At 34.8% G+C, this 22,205-nt stretch overlaps 1 protein-coding gene and 1 long non-coding RNA gene across 9 annotated transcripts in view; one reads left to right on the top strand and one right to left on the bottom strand.

The window, feature by feature from the left end:
* Positions 1 to 10,670, bottom strand: part of LOC107986774 (uncharacterized) — a 92,330-nt gene extending 81,660 nt beyond the window's left edge. The window contains exon 1 of the long non-coding RNA XR_001745112.2: positions 9,546 to 10,670. This is a non-coding gene — a long non-coding RNA (uncharacterized LOC107986774). The remainder of the gene's footprint in view (positions 1 to 9,545) is intronic.
* The window catches only part of TMEM196 (transmembrane protein 196), a 54,303-nt gene extending 40,930 nt beyond the window's left edge, over positions 1 to 13,373 (top strand). For 3 of the 8 annotated variants that reach the window (NM_001366627.1, NM_001363562.2, NM_001366625.1), the window contains exons 2-5: positions 3,250 to 3,306; positions 6,920 to 7,174; positions 8,335 to 8,408; positions 10,554 to 13,373. In NM_001366627.1, the coding sequence (NP_001353556.1) occupies positions 6,920 to 7,174; positions 8,335 to 8,408; positions 10,554 to 10,560 (336 nt within the window). In that variant the 5' untranslated portion in view covers positions 3,250 to 3,306 and the 3' untranslated portion in view covers positions 10,561 to 13,373. Of the gene's footprint in view, positions 1 to 3,249; positions 3,307 to 6,919; positions 7,175 to 8,334; positions 8,473 to 10,553 lie in introns of those variants that run through there. The other 5 variants (NM_001366628.1, NM_001366626.1, NM_152774.3 and 2 more) reach the window with 2 other exon arrangements.
* Positions 13,374 to 22,205: the final 8,832 nt, after the last annotated feature.

The following is a 22,205-nucleotide window of genomic DNA, read 5'->3' as shown; positions in this document are numbered from 1 at the left end:
TGAACACTTCTAGTTGGATTTGCTAGTATAACCTACACTGAACTAACACACACAAAAAAAAAAAACTCTAAAAATCACTTCCATTCCGTTTTTTTTTTTTTTGTTTTTTTTTTTTGAGATGGAGTCTTGATCTGTCACCCAGGCTGGAGTGCAGTGATGCGATCTCGGCTCACTGCAAGCTCCGCCTCCTGGGTTCAAGTGATTCTGCTGCCTCCCCCTCCAGAGTAGCTGCGACTACAGGTGACTGCAACCACGCCCGGCTAATTTTTGTATTTTTAGTAGAGACGGAGTTTCACCATATTGGCCAGGCTGGTCTCAAACTCCTGACCTTGTGATCCGCCCACCTCAGCCTCCCAACATGCTGGGGTTACAGGTGTGAGCCACCATGCCCAGCCCATTATTAAAAACAAATTAATTTAGACACTTAATAAAGTCTTAAATTAGATGTGTGATTTCTGACCTTGATGTGTTACCTTGAGCAAGTCACTAACTCTCTGGACCTCTCTGGACCATGTCCCCACGTGTAAACTTCGAGGGATTAATTAAATCATCTTTTAAGATCTCTTCCAGTATTATGACTTGTGGTAAATAAAGATAGCCAATGAAATAAAATATCAATTTACTACTTTGGGGGCCTCTTTTTCTCTTTTCTATAAACTGTGGTGGCTAAATTTCAACCAAGATCTTTTAGATCCTCCTCATAAATCCCATGATTTCATATACTTCCTGTTACATGTGTCCACTTTTTCTCAGGTTACAGCTTTTCTCTAGGACATGTGATTTTGGATACTCTAACAGAAGTAACAGTTGGAGAGTATTTACATTCATCTGCTGAAAGTAGAAAAAATATTGATTGATTCCTCCCCTACTCTCCCTTCCCTCTCCCAATCCTTGAATTCACATTTCTTAGCTCCATCCAATTGAAGTGAGATAATACAAAATAGCAAATTTATTGCCACCTAGATGTTCTAACCAAATGGTTGGATGGAGAACTCTGCTTATGCTCCTGACCACCTCTTGGGCTTTACTGTAAATGAATAATGGCAGTGTTTACAGATTTCAAAACAGATGCAAGGAACACAAAACTACACTGCTTTCAAATTCTTTTCGAATGAGTTCTGGATAAATGGGACTTTCAGGATGAAAATGGGGTAGTCAGGGAAACTTAAGGAGAAGAGTATGCTTGAGCTTTGATCTGAAGCTTGAAGCACTGAAAGGTACAGAATTGGTCCAAACTGGAATTTCTTGAGCACTGCCTTCAAAAATGTGAGATGAAATTAGTAACAGAAAGAGTCCATAAGAGGACATGATCATCTACACTTAGGACACAGTGGGTGGTGAGAAACGGTCACTCTGAAATAGCTTTTTAAGGCTACTGAAAATTATGCAAGTATTCAGGTTTTATAAAGTTCTGAGTTTCTATCTTCTCATGGTTTTATAATACTAAAAATATTTTATTAGATCTATTTCTAAAGTATGTTAACTATTTGGCTATCATATACTTTCCGAATATAATCCCAACATTTTTTGCCTTTGAGTGTTATGTTTTTGACCGTCAAAATTAAATTTTTTCTATTAATAAATACTTTCTACTTTGGTTTATTACTTTGGTGCTACATTTAGAAAATCCTTTCCAGTCCTCTAAAATTATATAAATATTTAACTTTGTTGTCTCCCAATGCATTTAAGCATTTTTGTATAAATACTCAATTTTACATTAATTTTGGTGTATGTTAGGGAACGTTAACACATTATTCTAGCTCTATTTATTGGGCAAATAATCCTTTCCTTTCCATTAATATGAAAGGTCATCTAAATTATATACCAAATTCTTATATATTCTGTGTTCCCTATTTCTTCTTGCTGCCCCACTGCCTGCATAATAATCATTCTGCTCCCTTATAGGAAAAGTTTCTTTGCAACAACTTCCCTTACTTATTGCTTTTTAACAGATTTTCTTGGTACTTCTCACATGCATATTATCTCAGATAATCCTTAGTATATTTTGATATGTATTTGGAAATAAATCTATCCAGGTGTCAAATATTTAGTGAAACAAGCTATATTGTTAGTTCTGACTTCAGATAATTAAACAACAACGACAACAGTGAAAACTAGTTCTCTTTGCGAATAAAAATTTTCTTTACAAATCTGAAGTCCTTTAGTGGACTTCTTACTTCTTAATGAATATTTTATATAGCTATTTCAAGTTAGAAGTATGTGAAAACTTGCATTCAAATGGAACTGTTTCTATTCAAATTAAACTATTTATCATTTTATGATTACTAAAATATCTAATAGTCTCTCCTTGGTAGATAATCTGATGTGACTGCCTTTGCAAAGCAATTATGTCAACAATGTTTTATTTACAAGAAATAATATGCTATCAATTGCTTTATCCCTTTGTGTTCTTTTTTTTTTTTTTCTTTTTTGAGACGGAGTCTTGCTCCGTCACCCAGGCTGGAATGCAGTGGCGCGATCTTGGCTCACTGCAAGCCTCGCCTCCCAGGTTCACGCCATTCTCCTGCCTCAGCCTCCGGAATAGCTGGGATCATAGGCGCCTGCCACCACGCCCGGCTAATTTTTTGTATTTTTAGTAGAGACGGGGTTTCACCGTGTTAGCCAGGATGGTCTCGATCTCCTGACCTTGTGATCCGTCCACCATGACCTCCCAAAGTACTGGGATTACAGGTGTGAGCCACCGCGCCCAGCCTATCTCTTTGTGTTCTTCTGACATATCCATAAGGCCAGTTTCTTGTAGAATAAGGAGGTTGTCATTGTACCAATTGGAGTGGTACAAAGAGTATCTCTATAGAGAATCATCTCCTTGTCTGATGCATTATCTTTTGATTTGTGCAGATTCTTTCCTGTAGTATAACTTACTGATTTCTAGTTGTTAAGTGTGAATGAATGTATCACACCACTTTTCTCCCTGAGAAAGTAGAAAGGAATCAGACGGTGAAAAGAAATGGGAGAAACAAAGCTCTAAATTCATTTACTTAATAATTTTACCTGATGCTAAAACTGATTCAATTACCTCTAACAATCTAGCAAAAAATAAATTTTTATTAGGGTTTATACTTTTATCCTTTACTATTCTAGAATGAGATCTTATCCTCTCCAGGTTTTGAAGGAAATTTAAAATGTTCTATCTTCCCTGGAGAAAGTGTCATGAGTGAACTACAAGCTAAAATCTAGGGGTCCTCGTGTCTTTGGATAAGGAGTAATTGTTCTTCTTTTCCTTTTCAGTTTCTTCTTTGTGGCATTTGTGGAATATTGTGTGCCAAAAAAAAATCAGGACTTGTCGTAAGTGTTTGATTTGTTTGTATTGTGCATTGAGGTGTATGAAACGTAAAATTCTAAAATAGAAATGATGGCTAGCCAGCTTTCATATACTGAATATTGCTAGTTTGAGGCAAAAAAAAAAAAAACTGACAAATAAATCCTGCCTTTTCTGTTTTCAAAGAAAACCATCAAAATTATTAGAAACTATGACAAAAGCCCACCGATGTAAAAAAACTTTAATAAACTCTTTAAATATCTGAATATGCAACCTTTAATGACTGCTACGGATGACAGTCTCTAGTTTTCCAATCTGGAGACTGCCAGACAATCGCCTGAATCCTTCAGTAAGCTCAAGTAGATAAAGCTTCAGCCCATGAGAAATGTAACCATTTAAATATGGAACTGGGCCTAAGGATTATTGGCTTTCTTTGACTGTGAAGCAAGTTTTGCGAAGCAGCAAGACAGCTGTGTTGCTATGGTTACAGTTTAATTCTCAGAGATTTATTTTATTTTCTTTTATTACTGTGAATGCACACATAAGTGTTTTCAGATGTTTTATGGTACTATAGTGGGTTTCTGGGGTATGGAACACACTCCCAGTTAGCTCTGATATTGGCTGGATGAGCCACACTGCATGCTGAAGTGTGGATTCCCCATCGCCTTTCATGATTTTTCATAAGGGTTTGGAAATAAGGAAAAAGTGTGGTTTATTTTACCAAGTATTATGGGAAAGAACATAGACACAAATTGGCAAAATTAATACTACACAGGGACCCTAGGAAGTACCCTTTGAGCCTAAAGAGAGTTTTCCAAGGTGAGGCCAGTTATCTGAGCAGATCAGGGAATGGGAAGCATTGCAGTTATTTTTATTTGACCCCTTTTTCTAATCACATCTTTCTTCGTGAGAACATCTATTATGGCAAAAAGGCTAAAGCCCTCACTGCTTTAGACAGCAATTTTAGATGTAATTTTTAAAAATTACATAAAGGGAAAAATGAAACCTTTAGAAAAAAATGTATTTTTTCAGGCTTGTAACTTGCATTTATGATTCTCCCATCATTTTTTACACATGGTCTTCATTCTCCTTATGCCCTTCCTCTACGAAGACTCTTTATGACTATGTAGGAACAACTCCTTGGGAGAAAGCAAGTAAACAAGCAAGGAAGCATGACAAAAGGAAAGAGAAAGAGAAAAAAGAGAGAGAGAAAGAAAGAGGAGGGAGGGAAGGAAAAAATAAAAAAGGAAGGAAGAGGCTTTTTGTTGTTGTTGTTTTATACAAAGGCAATAGTGGCACTTCTCTGTCTTTCTCTTATAAATTACAAGGAAAAAAATGATGAAATCTGATTTTTTTAAGAAACTACCGCCCAGGTGGTAGCTGTACCTACTATTAGAAGGTACATTATCCTGTGTACTTTCTAAGGTCCCCATTGATGGCATTTAACTATCAATATTTTCTACATTTTAATGAAATTAAAAAAAAATTTCACTCCAAATATATCTGCAGTCTAGAGTCTCCAACCTGGTGAAATTTGAAAATAGTATATGGTTACAGATTTAAACATTTTAATTCCTGGATAAGATTGTTTTGTTAACACATGTTAATGAGGTGTCATGCCTTTAAAGAATTAATCAGAATGACATCAGCAAAGACATGGGCTTTCCTGTAACAGAAAACTAAAGGTATTGTCTGCTTTCTCTATAACAATAATTAATTATTTGAAGCTAGATTTTAATATCTTTCCGTATTTTCAGAGAATGAGTAAACACCAAAATATATCCCCAAAGAACAGCATGACATCCAAATCTACTTTAAAATAAAATATAATTGGTTAATTCTACTAGGCATCTTGAGCTACAAGTTTACACTTAGTAGGATGATTTAATTATTTGGTAACTGATCTTCAGTATTATATTTAATCAAGTATAAAAAGATTTTACCCGTTCATTATTGGATTTTTAGCTCTGATGATATTTACAGATGCAATAAGGAATGCTGAATTAAGTTGAAGAAATGAAATTAACTACTTGTAGTTACTGACCTGACATATTCTCAAGAAAGCCTTCTCCAAAAATCTTGGCTGGGCTAAATTCTTCTCCTCCCTACTCCTAGGGCAACACATGTATCCCTTTCTTAATACTTATCATGCCATGTTAAAATTCTGGATCTTCTCTTTCACAAGATTTAACTATTCTCAAGAGGAATTATTATGAATGATTGATTGTAATGCCAGCAGCTGCTGCACTCAGGGGCTAACAGATGCTAAGTGCTCAATAAGTGCAGGCTAAACTCAACCGTCAATGAAAAATAATATCTGATAAAATAAAATTAAATGTTAAAGTGAGTTACAAAGCTGTTTGACCTGGGGAATTACAACAAAGGAGGAGATCAATAAAGTCCAAGTTAGGACTTAATTTGTGCCTTTCATCCATGAGTCTAAGGAAGAAGCAAAATTATTTCCAGGAAATGAAAAATGTCACTGATGTGGGAATGAGTAACCCATATTGAAGGACAAGAGAGGTGACTGGAATAAGTCTGTGTTCCCGAGAAGAATGGAAATTAGATTGCATAATTCAATTAGTATCATAGTACAAAGTATCATGAAAGCCCATAGAAGAATTTAGACCAGATGCAAAAAGAAAATATAATTATTAAAGTTATTTGACTAGTTAATTAAATTTATTAAATATTCACAAAGTACTTACTTCTCAGAAAGCATTATTCTTGGTTCTGCCAGGGATCCTATGATAGTTGTTGATTAAACCCCCCTAGCTCTATTAATAGACACCGAGATTCAACCAATAGTAGGACCAAAAGCAAAGCCACATCATCTGTTTCTCTAAAACGAACAAACGAACAGTATTTTTGGAACGCCTATTGTATATTCTTCAATGATGATAGTGCCACAAAGTAATAAAATATTTGTAATATATAGGGGTCAGTTCATAGGAGTCCCTAAAGTACTTGCTTAGGAAATACATGCACAATGAAATATGAGTGAACTTTTTTTTAAAAAAAGAGATTTAACTAAATTTCCTAAGCTCACATAGGTAGGAAGATATAAAGATTTGAAGTTAGGTGGAACTAATGACAATCCAAAGAGAAGCTATTGAGATATTTTTGAAGGACTGACACAGTGAAAGTAGATTTGGAATCAGAAAAATCTGGGTTTGGTGCCTAAATTTAGTGTTAGCTATTGACCATTCATTTTTCTAAAACGTATGTTACTATCTCAGAGGCTTGCTGGGAGTGTCAATTGAGATGATATTTGTTAAAGTTCCTAGCATGGTAGCACACGGTAGATGTTAAATAAATATTTAAATCTGAATCTACCTAGACGATAAATTTTGTTTGCTTCAGAGTTTTCATAAGCTATATCCTTGGCTTTAATATAGTCAGCTATCAATTTCTGAAACACTGTGGTATACTCCCTCTGTCTACTGTGAGTCAGAGTGAATAGAAACTTGGCAAAAATAAAATGTAAAAAAAAAATCTCCTGTCCTCTGTGAAGCACCAAAACCGCTTATTCTTCTTTATTGTAGGCTAGTCATCCTTGACATGCAGCCGGACAGGGCAACTGTGTTCTGGTCAGGTTTGCCTTTTCAACTTTAACGCTGCCTTTCTTTTTCTTATCAGATGATCCTCTTTTCAGCCTGCTGTATCTGTGGACTTATTGGGGGCATCCTGAATTTTCAGTTCCTCCGGGCAGTCACAAAGAAAACTTCCTCCCTATACCCACTGCACCTTGCCTCCATGTCTCTCGCGTGCATTGGGATCGGGGGCTGCACTCTCTCTTCCTGGCTCACTTGTCGACTAGCCAGTTATGAACAGAGGAGGATGTTCTCAGAAAGGGAGCATTCCCTGCATCACTCTCATGAAATGGCTGAGAAAGTGAGTTTTGTACCTTTTCCTCTCACTGCTAGCACATGATGAAGACTGAAGTCCACTCTGGGTGAATCAACTTGAAACTTTAGATCACAATTTGAGGAATCAGATTTTATACATTTGGCTCTATTGGGTTAAGAATAGAAATTTTATTTTATTTTTCTCTGCAATTCATGGGTACACCTATTTTCAACAACATTTTGTAGTCTGTCTATTCAAAAACACAGTGCTTAAAATAGTATTTCATAAAATATTGAATACCCTATAAATATGGATTTTTATGTATTATACTGAGGAAAAACACAGATACTAAATACACTCTCCACTCAATAATGCCAGTTTTAGAAATTGCATGAATTCCCTTTTCTAGCTCTTCCCTTGTTCTATTAAGGAGATGCATTTGATTATGTAAATTTGATCTTCAAGTATAAAGGGGCTTTTTAATAAGGTGACAAAAAGCCTTGTCTATCAGTGCAGATATTACAGTCCATATAAAGCTTCATTTAATTCTCATCTAAACTTATGCATATTTGGAGAGCTTTGCCTGTATTTTAAACAGTTGTCCTTGCATAATTGTTTCATGAAACCCATATAAATAGGAAGTTAAATTAATTGTATAAAAGGACAAATGGTATAGTATGATGTCTGTGTTTCTATTACATTTTGCACATATTCCTTAATTCGGTTTCTCCTACTGGATCTAGTAGAGAAGAGAGGAAACATTTGTAAAATAAACTCACTAAGGTAATGGCCACATTATATTTTGCTTCATATCATGGAAATAAAATTGCATAAGCACAGAGGAGAAGTGATAATAGCAAGACTTACTGCACATCTCTTTATAATGTTATTTTGAAGGAAAAATATTTATTCTGTAGCGTTTCCATTTTGTGTACAATCTATACATTCAAATAAGGAGAGCAAGTGTTCTCAAATTGACTCAAGAAAGCAATTTTAAACACAGCTATGCATGTCCTTCATGAAACAGTTAATAATATACATAGCAAGACTCCAGTAATTTAAAGAAATGATTGTTAAAAATAGATGACCATTTTATATGTATATATGAATAGTGGCTCTTTTGTGCTTTATTTTATACTAGTCTGATTTAGTTTTCTGTATATATTTGTGCAATATTTATTGTATGATTGTTATATTTACATTAGAGATTGAGGGCTATTGAAATAACCGACTTGCCCAGCTGCCCGGTGGTGCCCCCGACACCAGAGTTACCTACAAGGTACGCTGATTTCTAGGGAGTTACCATGTTGTAATGTCGCTGCAGAAAGCACTTCCCCTTCCAGAAAGCCATGATGTCAACAGATCAGTCTGAACTGATGTTGTTTAATGTTGTTTCTCAAAGTATCGCTTTCGTAAGCGCTTACTTTGCAGAGCTGACATAAACCTACATGGCCGAGTCTTGCAGCTTGAAAGTTGGTTGAGTATGTAAAATACTCAGCCCGCCTATAAGCATCCAAACACATTTCTGCTTGGATGATTCATGACTCCTTTTATTGTCTGCTACTTCATGGTTCTGACTCAGTATAATCATTCATGGGCCAGAGTTTTGTTTTTAATAATAGATATGTCTGGATAAAGACAAACTGTGTATTTTCCTCATGCTAAAATTGCGTGAGAAGATGGCCAAAGTTGGACACTAATACGGTAAAATTTTGGTATGAAAAGATTCTTCTTGTAAAATTATCTTATGTGATGCATTTTAAATTTAGTTCCCACGTTTCAAATTGCTAAAAATAAATAGTAATGGTTCTTGGTTTGCTCAAACAAAGTAATTGGACAGACAGAAAGTCACATGGATACTATGGCCCATTTGCAGAAAGCCCATTTGCAAATAGTCACATTGGTCCAGCCCAAATTTAAACCACAATCTTCCTATTAAATTAAGCATGCCTATTTGCAAATTTTTTTGCAAACTGGAGACTCACTCATTTTAAAACGAATTTTCACTCTTCTTTCCTATCAGTGATTTTACTGTGTTTATGGTAGAGTGAATTCAGTTAAGAAAATTCTTTTTTTGTAACATTTTAAAAAATTGTTTTACTAAATTCTGCAATAAAAGGTTAATATAACAGATTCACTTTTTATCATTTCTAAGCAGTTTTTGAGTGGAAAGTCATTGTAGAAGGAGAAAAGGCACCTAACGGGTTTATGTAAATTTATTAGAAATTTGATTTTTCTCCTAGTAGGTAAAACAGGAAAAGTAAATTTTGTTGAAGATCATTGGGGGTGGGGGGTGATTCTACCTATTTTGCCATCAATGGTGAGTTCCTCAATGAAGCCTCAAATCAGATTTCTGAGCTATAAACTTAACTCCAGCACATAACCCTAATATATTTTCAGATTTTTCATCACATACCTCTCTAGGAGACTTTCACCATGTACATCTCTAGCAGATTCTCCAAACAGAGCTAGATAGAAATAGATATAGAAATAAAATAATTGAGAAAATAATTTCCACTTCTAATTTTTTTTTTCTGCTCTGTTGCAAATAGGCTTGTTCAAGCATGGAAAGATGCTGCCAATTTATTTTTAGATAATTTTATCAACATAATTTTACTATGGTGCTCTAACCATTAAAATATGAATGGGCTTCATATCCTATCACTTTTTATTGTGTTGGGAAGGGTTTAATATTTAACAAAACATATGAATTAAAAGCATCAAAATTTTTCATAATGTATTTCATATAATTGAAAATGAAACTTTCAATGCTAGTTTGTCCTTTGCATCTATATTTTCAGTGCTTTTCTATATAGTTTTACTTATTAACTTTTTAGTAATTGATCCATTAAAAACATGTTAAGAGACTTCACTGTTTTTGCTTCTTACTGGAAGAGTGATAGTGTCATGAAAAACAATCTTTCCCACTATGATTTTTTAGTGATCCATAGTTACAAATGAGCAATGATGCCCTCGTAGGCCTTTTTCTGTTCTTAGCAAAAAGGCCACACATTTTCCTGTAGAATAAAGGTCACCTCTAGAATGCATTGGCACTTTGTTGACATGCTCAGCAGAGTCTATGCATTAGAAAAACTTGCGCATTTAACCATCTTCTTCTTTCTAGGTGAGGTCTTTCCAAAATTGAGTTGAAGAAAGAAAGAGGAAACTCAGGAAAGTGGGGAGAGAATGGACCGTTGTTGTGGAGAGAATATTTTGGTCTAACTGACTCTTACTTTGGCATTTGCATGTGCTCCAAGATGCCATGAAATTTTATTTCCTCAAATATAACAGCAATATCCTTGTCTTTCCCCAAAACTTAGCAAGTTTTTCAATGGATTGAAATTTCTGTTTTGCAAACTCATTAACCAAAACAATGTCTTACTCCAAAAGCGAATTTTAATTAATCATGTCATTTTTCTAACAGGAAATAACAGACAACATGAGCAATGGAGGACCACAGCTGATATTTAATGGAAGAGTGTAATCAATGTTTTAAAGAATTGAACACTTTTTAGGATTTTCATGAGGCAATGAGACACCAAAGGACTAGAAAATAAAACAGTTTTTGCATTTGCATTTATCTCTCCTGAGCATCCACTAAAATTATTCTTCCTAAAAAATATATTGCCTCACTGGTTTCTCCACCCTTTTTTATGGGGTAAAAAACTTTCCAGAAACATTCTAGTACAATAATTTCAAGAGGCTTTCCAGATTGTTCTAAAGAAGACTTTTCAGGAAAAAGAGATAATAAAACAGAAATAAAATGCATATTCTATACAAACACTATTTGACTAGCATGATTATTATATTTGTAATGACATATTTCATATGAGTAATTGAAAAGTGCAAATATCAAGAAATAAAAATAACTTATTGACGTCTTTGTTCTGAAAGACAGATGGCTTCAAGGATGCTACAATTCAAAACCTCAGTAATGCCTTGTTATAAAAACATTGTAATTATTTTCAACTTGTGAATGAAATATATTTCATAATTTATTTGTAAATGACAAAAAACCTCAAGCATAAAAAAGAGACTTTTTAGAGAGAGAGAATACTAATCTATATGGTATTTTTGCATTTTTGCACAAAGAGTGAAAAGTTATATGTGAATATCATTTAAGAAAATAAACATGTTTTGATCATACTGTGCAGATTGATCTGCATGTTCATGAATGAGCCTAAGAATAAAGTATGTGTGTGAATGTGTGTATACATACTGTAAATATAGAACATGTATACAGCATATATTATAGCATACATGAATGTAAATAGGTATTAGAAAAGAAATTGTGATGCTGTGGGGGTATTATTAAGATTCTACTCCAATAGAAATGGGAAGGCAATTGCTCAAGGCCCTTCTATGCCCACAAAATCACATGTTTAATTTCTACTAAAATTGCCCATTTTTCTTCTTTTAATTAGGTTTTGTGTAAATATCATTGTGGGTGATATTTATGAAGATGAGTGATCTGAATAGTGTAGTATACAGATAGACTACTTATTTGACTATTTCACTATGATTATAGTATTTATGTATAGCAATTAAAATTAATTTATAAACGAACATGACTTTAATGACATACTTCCGTATTTATAAAGATATCATGACTTAAAATTATTGATGATATTGATATTTCAAACACCTTGCAGTCCAGTTAAATGATACAAAAGGGCAGATGATGTAACCCCCCAACAATGAAGTTATAATTACCTTTGCTGTAATCTAATTTAGGTGTTTTGTTTTACGATTCTCATGAAATAATATAGGCAGTCCATATATAAGAAAGCCTATATCCAAAGATCCTGAAAGAATTCTTTGAGGAAAAAGTGAAAAGATAGGCTAACATTTGTATAGCTAGATTCAATCCTTTCCTCTAATAATGGAATGTTAAAATAGCAAACAAGAACAACACATATAAGTGAAAAAACAACATATATCTGAATATATTTATCAGAATATAACCTCTGGCAACAGACAAAGAAATCTATCATTTTTAAATACATAACTCTCACTATATTGTATACTTTTCTTTTTCCTCAAATCTAATCAATTTTCAAGTCATTTTTTATGAGTTACTTGTTGAACCATAGGTAAATTAAAATATTTACTGTTCAGTATGAGAATATAATTTATAAACAAAACATGAGTTTTAATTGTGCTAACACAGTAATGATCATTCAAGTTAATGAAAATTTGAAGGTCTTTTATAGCAACATGATCATCGTTTAACCTATTTAAATCAGCTCACTTAAAATTCTGGCTGTCATCTATTCAACAGAAATAACTGGACTCTGCTTGTTTGGTGCACTTTTTGAAGTCTCCCAATTCCTTTGGATAACTTCATTGCCTAGTAGATTACAGAAGTTGTCCATAAATGCAACCTCATATAGTGAATCAACATCATAACTATTCATTCAATGCCACAAACAGGCATGATCTTTGCCAATGAAAATCTAAATTACATCATGAAGATATTTGTGTGTGTATGGTCCTCCTGAATTCATGCAAGGATGTAGTTTTGTACTGAAAGAATAAACACTGACTCTAATTTTCAGTAGCATTTCTCTATAAACATGCTTGTTCAATACAAAATTATAATACATCAGAAAAATGTTGTAATGCCTTTTGAACTGATCTATAACATAACACATTAAAGGACAAAAGGAGACATATCACTGCTTTGATGTATAGTTAAAAAGAGATGCCATCATCACAATTATTCAAATAGTTTACAGTGTATGTTTAACCAAGTATAGATATATTTTTAAATATGATTATTTCTACCTAGTATTTTCAGAATTGAGTTTAGAATGATTTACTTGGGATGTGCGGCGATTCTTTTTTAGATAAGTGGGGGATGTTAGGAAGACATTGTTCAAGTGCTTGAAACTTTAATTTGGACAATACATTGAACCACATGCTGGAATGTTTTAAGTGACTACCTTATAGTTTTAGTATGAGCCTACCCTTGGAAGAAAGTAAGGTGATACTAAATTAGAAAAACTATGTGAAACTGGAGTGGTGGTATACTTTGGACCATATCAAATAGGTAGAGTATTATAAGCATAAAAGAATAAAATTGGGCTCGCTTTGGAAATTTTAAACATATATGTGTATGTGTGTATATATATGCATATACATACACATATGTGTATATACACACACACAATGGTTTGGAAGTGGAACAGGAAATGATAACTCTACTGACATGTCTATAATAAAATGATGTGCTTTGAAACTATATATGGTGTTGGCTTTCTTTTCATTATAATACAGAAATACCTTCCCCAATAGCTACATGAATAAATATGCTATTCTGAGAGTGGCAAGGGATGGCCTGCTGTGAATGAGGGGAAAGAGACAGTCACAGACGAAGGATACAGAATTAAATAAGAATATTATTTGAGATACAAAAGCTAGAATATGTTCAAGTATAGAGAGAGACTGGTTGAAGCCATCAAACAAAATGATTATAATAAGAATGTGAAGTCCCTGAGGGCAAGAGAAAATAAGACACAGATCATATGAGACAGAATTTACTATGGTAGGACAGAGACTGCAGGTGATGTCACAAATTAAACCACAATATTTAGAGAACCCTGAAGGCCTACTTGAGTTTGTCAAATTGGTTGTTACTGGCATTTGGGCTGAATAATAACTTATTATGCAGACTGTCCCACACATTTCAGGCCATTTAGCATCTCTCATCTCTACCCACTAAATCCCAGGAGGACACTCTTATCATTTTAATAACCAAAAATGTCCTAACAAATGTTTACCTGTTTCTTTGGTAGGGAGATATTAGCCAGTTAAGAATGACTGAGGAAATCCTTTGAACGTAATCCAGAGCAGCCAATTTTAATGCTACCTATAAGTGAAGACTTGAATTGCTCAAGGTCATAAACTCACTGTTCTAAGGTCTACCTACACTGTCTAATATGGTAGCCACTATCCACATGTGACTATTTAAATCTAAATATAAATTAATTAAAACAAAAGAATATTTTTGTTTTTCAGTTTCTCCATCAAACTAGCCATATTCAAAGTGTCAAACAGACATATATGGGCAACAGTTACAGAATATCCCCATCATTTCAGAAAGATCCATTAGATAATGCTAGTCAAAAGCACATAGGAACTTCCCATTTCCTTCAGTCCTTGTACAAGTTCTTGCACAATTAACCAATTATCATTACAATTGAAAATATGAAAAGAGTTAGTAAATACTCCATGGAATTTGAAAGGTGATGCACCAATTATAAATCCATGAACTGGGCAGGGCGTGGTAGCTTACGCCTGTAATCTCAGCACTTTGGGAGGCTGAGGTGAGTGAATCACAAGGTCAAGAAATAGAGACCATCCTGGCCAACATGGTGAAATAATTTTATTAAAGCTATAGCTTGGTTTTTAAGCAATATATTACTTGTGAAATGCATTTGCATTCCTAATAAAGGACTCTTGTATTCAATAAATTGTTTTCCTGGCAAAGGGAGTAAAAAAGAATGGTGAAACCCCATCTCTACTAAAAATACAAAAATTAGCTGGGCGTGGTGGCATGCGCCTGTAGTCCCCCCTACTCGGGAGGCTGAGGCAGGAGAATCACTTGAACCTGGGAAGTGGAGGTTGCAGTGAGCCAAGACAGCACCACTGCACTCCAGCCTGGTGACAGAGCAAGTCTCTTTCTCAAAAAAAAAAAAAAAAAAAAAAATCCATAAACTGAGCAAAACTTGTAATAATTAGCAAATGTGGTAGAACAACCCATAATAAAGTAGAAATTTTTTAAGAGATTTCACATTTAAAAAGTTCTGCTCAGAAAAATTCCACTAAATTATTAAATATTATATGCTTGACAAGCAAAATGAGATGTTGTGTAACCCCTATTTTTGAATATTTTTACTCGACCTATTACATGTGTCAAAGGATACCCTGCATTTCTTGTGTTTAGGGATGTGACAATAACAAATACATGGTCCTCCACTTTATTCTTTGACTTAGTTCAAAAATGGTGTATTTAAAAACCTTATGTCCCAAACTATTTTCAAAGATTATTTAGCAAACATATTTCAGAAACTTAGAGGAGCATCTTAAGTATCATTTAGTTAGAACACTGTTTCCAAATAAAATGTCAGAAGTTGGCATCACTTCACTCTTTTCTTCTTTTAGTCATTTTTTTCTGGAAACATATATAATACTTCTTACTCAAAGTGTATGACGGCCAAGAAATTCAATTATTCCAAATCCATAAATCACAGGTTGTCAGTTACTCATAGCAAGGGAAACCAATTCAGAAATTGCTGGAAATGTGGATGCCTAGCAAAATTATACAGAGGAATTTCTTTTTTACTCCCTTTGCCAGGAAAACAATTTATTGAATACAAGAGTCCTTTACTAGGAACATAAATGCATTTCACAAGTAATATATTGCTTAAAAACCAAGCTATAGCTTTAATAAAATTATTTCAATATTTGAACACTTCAATATTATTTACATCAATGAATTACAGTGAAAAGAGACTCCTTCATTTTAGGCAGAAGGCCTTCATTTAGTTGGAAATCTTGCCATCTTTGCCTTTCTCCACATCAACTAGGGACTATTGTTTTCACAAGATTTTCTTCACTGAAAGGCTCCACCTTCTTCAGCCACACAATACATCGCAAGCCTTTCCCCAAAGCTGAAAGTCATTATGCCACTGAAAATCGCCAAGAAGACTCTAGAACTTGCCTGAAACTTCACAGAAAAATCTAAAATGTTGTTAAAATTTCACCAAGTGTTGTATTAGCTGCAAGTAATCTCATGACTGCTCCTTAGTACCCAATCAGGGTGTTGATCTCCACCTAATCATTCTACAGCATCCATCCCAGAAGTTGGAGTTGGAGTTGGGGGGTGTGGTACACTAAAAGAAATCCCTTGAAATAGCTAGGGTCATTGCCCAGGAAAGAAAAGCTACTGATACCTTTGGGGGTGGCTCTATTAGCCAACACTACCCCTCACTCTGAACTATAACTCAGCCCAAGGATGAGATAACACTCAACTGTGTAATATAGAAGTACTCTAAGGGCTTGTTTAGATAGCAGTCTAAATGTCCACTCCTTTCATTACTATCCAAAAAGGCTTCTGAAAGCCAGACTTCTCTTTCTATCTTCTAAGTATATTAGTATTCTTCTATCAACCTCTCAAAAAACAAAATAAAAGCCTCAATGTTCTCTGTAATAAAATGAATTGCTGGAGAGAAGGTCAAGTTTCCAAGTCTCAATATACTTAGTAGTGGTAATATTAGCCTATTGCCATTTACCAGCAAAATGATGGTGGCACAGCAGGTGAAAATAAGCATTTGTCAATCTCTATTTAGCAAATGCTATTATAATATACATTATCTATAAAGGTGAATATCCCTCTATGATATTAACATCACTTATTTAACATGAAATAAGAAATAGAATAAATAAGAAAAAGGTGGGTAGACATCATTTTACCTGAAAAGTGAGGTCATTTCTGATGGTACTCCTGAATCTTAAAGCCATTCAGCCAAATCATATAACATGTATGTGTATACACACACACACACACACACACACACACACACACACACACACACTCTCATGCTTAGGTCCATAAAACAAACCAACTCTATATGAACCATTCTCCTTTATTTAATCTACTTCTTTTGATTTTAGATTCAAATTTCTGGTTCTGTGATGCTGCCTTGATTTCAGTTTCTGGTCCCTGCACTTGAACCTGAGACTTCATCTCTCCAGTTGTCAAGCTTTGACAGCTACCTTCAGTCATTTCACTCTAGGCACTTGAGTTTGTTTAACAAAACTCCCTACTCCTGAATCAGCCAATTGAAATCCAGCTTTAGTCACTGAGGCAGCAGCAGCTAGTGAGAGAAGCGACTGTTTTAGTCACCTGGCCAGCAAGTATGTACACATATTGAAAATAGGAATTCAAAGAAAGGATTTCAGCCAACTGAAAGAAAACTTGAGCTCCATAAACCTTGAATATAAAGAGGATGGAAAATCTAGGAGGTCATTGGAGACAGGCAGAAAGCTGTAACAGAAACGGAAACAAGATCACTTTTCCCCTAGGCTTTATTGATAAGGTGCTTGGACCTGTAGGCTATAGAGAAAACTAATTTGGTCATGAAAAAAATTATGCCCTTATATTAAAGATATGTTCATTTCTGGTAGGCTCTGGTGTTTTTTTTGTCCTACTTTTAAACATCCAGTTTAGTCTATTCGACTGTGCCAAAGATTTCAGGAGAAAAGGTTTTTTTCAAGCGGAGTTAATACTGTCAGTATCACCCTAAAGCCAATATGGTACAAGAAAACAGGAATCACAACAAAGAATATCAAGGCAAAGTGAGACACAAAGAAATCGAGTAGCTTTCTTTTATTCATTAGTCTTTCATTTTATTCATTAGTCTATCCTACTCAGTGCAAATTTTGGACTTTCAGATATTTTACTAACAACTGTGGCCTTAAAGTAATGACTTAATTTGTAAATTCCTGCAGGGCATTTTTCACAACTGGGCAAGTTCACTTTGCCATTGGACAACGATAAATTCATAACTATAATAATTTCCAAAGCATAGGTGTATTAAGCACCCTGTAGCTGTAACGGGAAGTCTAGAATATGATACATTAATATAAATTGTGTTTGGGCACTTCAGAGTAAATTGTGTATCAAAAGGCACTGCATCTAAATTTCATTTTTTTAATTACCACCCTCAAACTTTCCGTACCACATTCTTCGGAACTATTTAATGTCAAGAATCTTGGAGTTCACATCTACACAGTTTCTGCAGTCAGCAAGTGCTTTATTAAACTACAGCATTAAAGTAATCTTCAAAATATAAAAAAGAAAACTGTTTTCTATTTCTATTCTGCACTGAGCAAAAGACAGGTGGAAGTAAATGAGAATTTCCACAGTCACCCTTGCAAGCATCACAGCCAATTGTATTAGCTTAATTCACTGGATTTGAAAAACTTGAAAGGAGGATGTTGAAATTTGATTGCAGAAAGGTCTGATTAGAGAGGAAATAGGGCTTAGAAGAAATACTAACACTAGTTTTTGTAAGAGGACAATAAATACAGATGGCATCTTGTCCTCCTAAAGTAGACTCACCCCCTTGAGATACCTTGTTTACCTCTTCCCAACCTCTAGAAGCAGTCATCAGTGCTCACATCTACATGTACGCAGACTCGTACACACTCACACACCTCAAATTTATTTTATTATTTAAGCTAATCCTTTCTAGCTGACATCTTTCATCCAAAGTGCTAGGCAGTTGCCTTCTTGGCTTTTACCTAGATAGATAATTGTAACATCAGGAGCTAAAAAATTGGCATGACTTTATTTAGGTCCATATTTCAAAGCTCAGGTTTAAACGATATGTGTGTGTGTGTGTGTGTGTGTGTGTGTGTGTGTGTGTGTGTGTGTGTATGTAATATAATGTGCTCTGTTAATATATTTCCTCATTCTCTTTAGGCACATGTGTATCATGTAGTGTCAACAATCTAACAAGCAAGTAGAAGGAGCCTTCAGAGTCAAAAATTTATCCTAAGTTCTCTGTTGAAGAAGGATTGTAGATAAAAACAAGCCATCAATAAAGTTTCCCTTCACTTTTGTCATTTCTACAGTCCTTAAGCTAAAGCAAAACTTTACAAATTTAAGCTCATTTTTGCCATCTGCTGGCAAATTTGTGAAACACAAGTGGTCTGCATCAACAAACATTTGGTTGATATACCCTGTATTATATATATTTCGGCTAAAACTGGTGCTTGTTTGACACCTTTCCAATCCTACTAAAATGTTAATATTTACCAATTTGGTCAAATATCTTACCTTAGCACTTTTCTAGGCAGAGACTAAATAAAATAAACCATCAATTTTTACAATTTCCTTCTTCATCAGTTTTTGATATAGACATAGAAAAAGTGAGGATCTTTAGTGATTCAAAGCATAAATTATGGGATAACTCATGCCTGGGTTAGATTCCTTTATTGATAAATCGCTGGGTATTCTTGGGAAAGTCATTGGTTCATTCACTCAAGGAGTATGCATTAGGCCCTGGGCATATGACTGTTAGCAATACAGAGAGGATAGCTACCATCATGAGGCTGACATTTCTTTTAGAATACAGGCTTCTCGCTTGTAAATATATGTCATTAGTGTAATCAATTCATAAAGATTATCTGTCAGTGATTTACCTAGGGCACTTGGCATAGCATCTGGCAGGTTTGTAGTAAAGTTTACCTGTGATAATGTTGGTCATTGTGATGTTGACACTCATCACTCATTCCACCAATTTGATATAAACAGTCATATAAGTGTGATTAAATCCTTCCTGTCAGTACTAGTATTGCTCTTTATCCAGGGTGGGCATTCCTAGGGACGTATATACCCCTGATATATGACAGAAGAAGCTTCTGAGCCTCTCTGAGGCAAAGAACAAAGTACATGAGATCAGATGTACCCCATACATTGGATTGACATTGTGGAAGTTCTAGAGTCTAGACAGAAGGTCTTGTGTGCTTCCTGCTCTATCTTGGAAATCTGCATAGCTGCCAGGAGAGCAAGCTCACTCTAGCCTGCTGGAACACCAGACACATGGGGCCACACATGAGGACAGATGCACAAGTGAACCCAACTGAGTGCTGCCCAAATTTGTACCCATAGAATTATGAGTTAAATTAATAGTTTTATTTAAAGCCACTACATTTGAGGATAGTTTGTTATGCAGCAAAAGCTAACTGATACAATGACATTTTTCATGGAATGCTCTTTATAGGAATTTTTTATGCAAACCATTACATATAGTCAAAAATTCCTGTCTGATTCCATCTTCACATAATCCTACTGTAATAATTTTAGCTTTTTGAAAAATGAAAGAAATGTGCCTAACATCACACATCTAGTAAGTGACAGAGCCAGGATATGAACTCAAGCAATGTGACTTTAGCATCTAGGAGGCTCTTCTCCTTGTATTAAGGCTGGTGCAAAAGTAAGCGTCATTTTTCCCACTAAGAGTAATGGCAAAACCCACAATTACTTTTGCACCAACCAACACTATTAAATCATCTAAAACTAGAGTATGTCCTGTAACAACTTAAATCTTCTGATTAAGTTTCTGATTTTTTTCTGTATAAACATTAAAATAATATATAAAAATTCACAAAAATAAAAGGAAAGTATAAATTCATACTCAAGAGATGACTAACTTTAACATATGGTATAGACATGTGTCGCTTAATGACAAGGATACATTCTGAGAAATGCATAATGAGGCAATTTCATCATTGCATGAACATCATAGAGCATACTTACATAAATCCAGATGACATACCTTACTACACACTTACGCTATATGATGTGCTATGCTAATCTCCTCCTTTATCAGCTTTGGTCATGTACATAGAAAATGTGAAGATCTTTAGTAATTGAAAGGATAAGTTATGGCATAAGTCATGCCTGGGTTAGATTCCTTGATTGATAAATAGCCTATTGCTATTTAGCTGGTTGATAAATAGCCTGTAGCCTATTGCTCCTGGTCTACAAACCTGGACAGCCTGTTACTGTACTGAATACTGTAGGAAACCGTAACACAGTGGCAAGTATTTGTGCAACTAAGTATATCTAAACATAGAAACGATACAGTAAAAAGACATGGCATTATAAACTTACAGGGCCACCGTCATATAGATCAGCTGTTGTTGACCTAGATGCATGAATACAATCATGTGCCCCATGATTTTTTTCTAAGCATATAAATGTGCATGTGTTCTGTAACAATCAGAGCATATGTCACATATTACTTTGTAACCACCATTATTTATTTCAGCAAACCACCAATTTTTGCACATTTATGTTGCTCCAGGGATTATCTGATTGTGAGGAATAGAAACACACTAATATAATAAGGTATATGTGTGTGCATGCTGGAGGTGGCAAGGTCAGTGATAAAATAATACAGACAGTTGCACAGGAAATTTTCTCTCTCTTCCTCTGAGGCCATTGGTCATGGGGTCAAAATTATTTCTAACTTTCTTTCTCCTCCTTGTAGAATGAAGATCTTCTCAGCACATTGCCTTTGACTTGACAGAGCTTTTCATGAGACAGGGACCACCAATGCCTTACTTTTTGTGGAACTTGGACAAATTTTAGAGAAAAATAAAATGGTTCAGTTCAACTACAGGTCTTTGAACAAATAAACTTTGTATATGTCTGCAGGGTAGGGTAGGTAGGAGGAACTCATGGTTATTTCTGTTTTCTTCCCTGTGTCGAAGGTGGAGCAGGTTAATTTGTAAAGTAACCCCACAATGGTGAACACTGGCATGCAGGCAGAATCACCTTGTTCGCTCTCAAATCATGCAGAGCATGGATAGCAGCTAATGATCAAGTCAGAATTTTTAAAACTGAAAATGAGAAAATCAGTTTCAAAATTTAAACAAGCAAACTTCTAACTGCAACTGGACATACCTAGGGTTACAAAACTACTGCATGGGTGCACTACATTTACTAGTTGTGAAAGATTATTACTGGAATATTTGATTTCAGGTAACGTTTTGTTTTGATCAAATTGTCATGATGTCCAGCTTGTTTTTTACTAAATTCTTTCTTGGCCAAATTGTTTTCATTCAAATCACTTACAGCCAGTCTAGATCCATCTTGACTGTAAGGTGTAGTCACCTGGAGAGGTTTTGATTGAATTGATCTGTGATGTCATCCGGGCATCAGGAGTTCTTAAAGCTCCTCACCTTAGGTGACTTCATTGTTTAGCCAAGTTTGAGCACATTGAACAAAAGGGTCCTGCACAGGGGTATCACAGGACTTTGCAACAAAATGAAGGTAAAAGCCATTATGTTTCCCATTTATGGACTTAAAAGTGTCTACTATTAGGTTTTGGGGGCAGTCTCATCCCACTATCATCTCATGCTGAGTTTGCAGTTATTTAAGGAATATTAAAGAAAATGCCTTTTATTTATCTTGTTTGACCCTCCTATCATCTCTCTAAGGTAGCAGGGCAAGTATTATTTTTCGTATTTTACAAGTCAGAAATCAGGTTTAGAGAGG

The sequence above is a fragment of the Homo sapiens genome, chromosome 7 (genome assembly GCF_000001405.40).
Source record: "Homo sapiens chromosome 7, GRCh38.p14 Primary Assembly".
Lineage (NCBI taxonomy): Eukaryota > Metazoa > Chordata > Mammalia > Primates > Hominidae > Homo > Homo sapiens.
The sequence above is the reverse complement of the archived record's forward strand: the minus strand, read 5'-3'. Positions and strand labels throughout refer to the sequence as shown.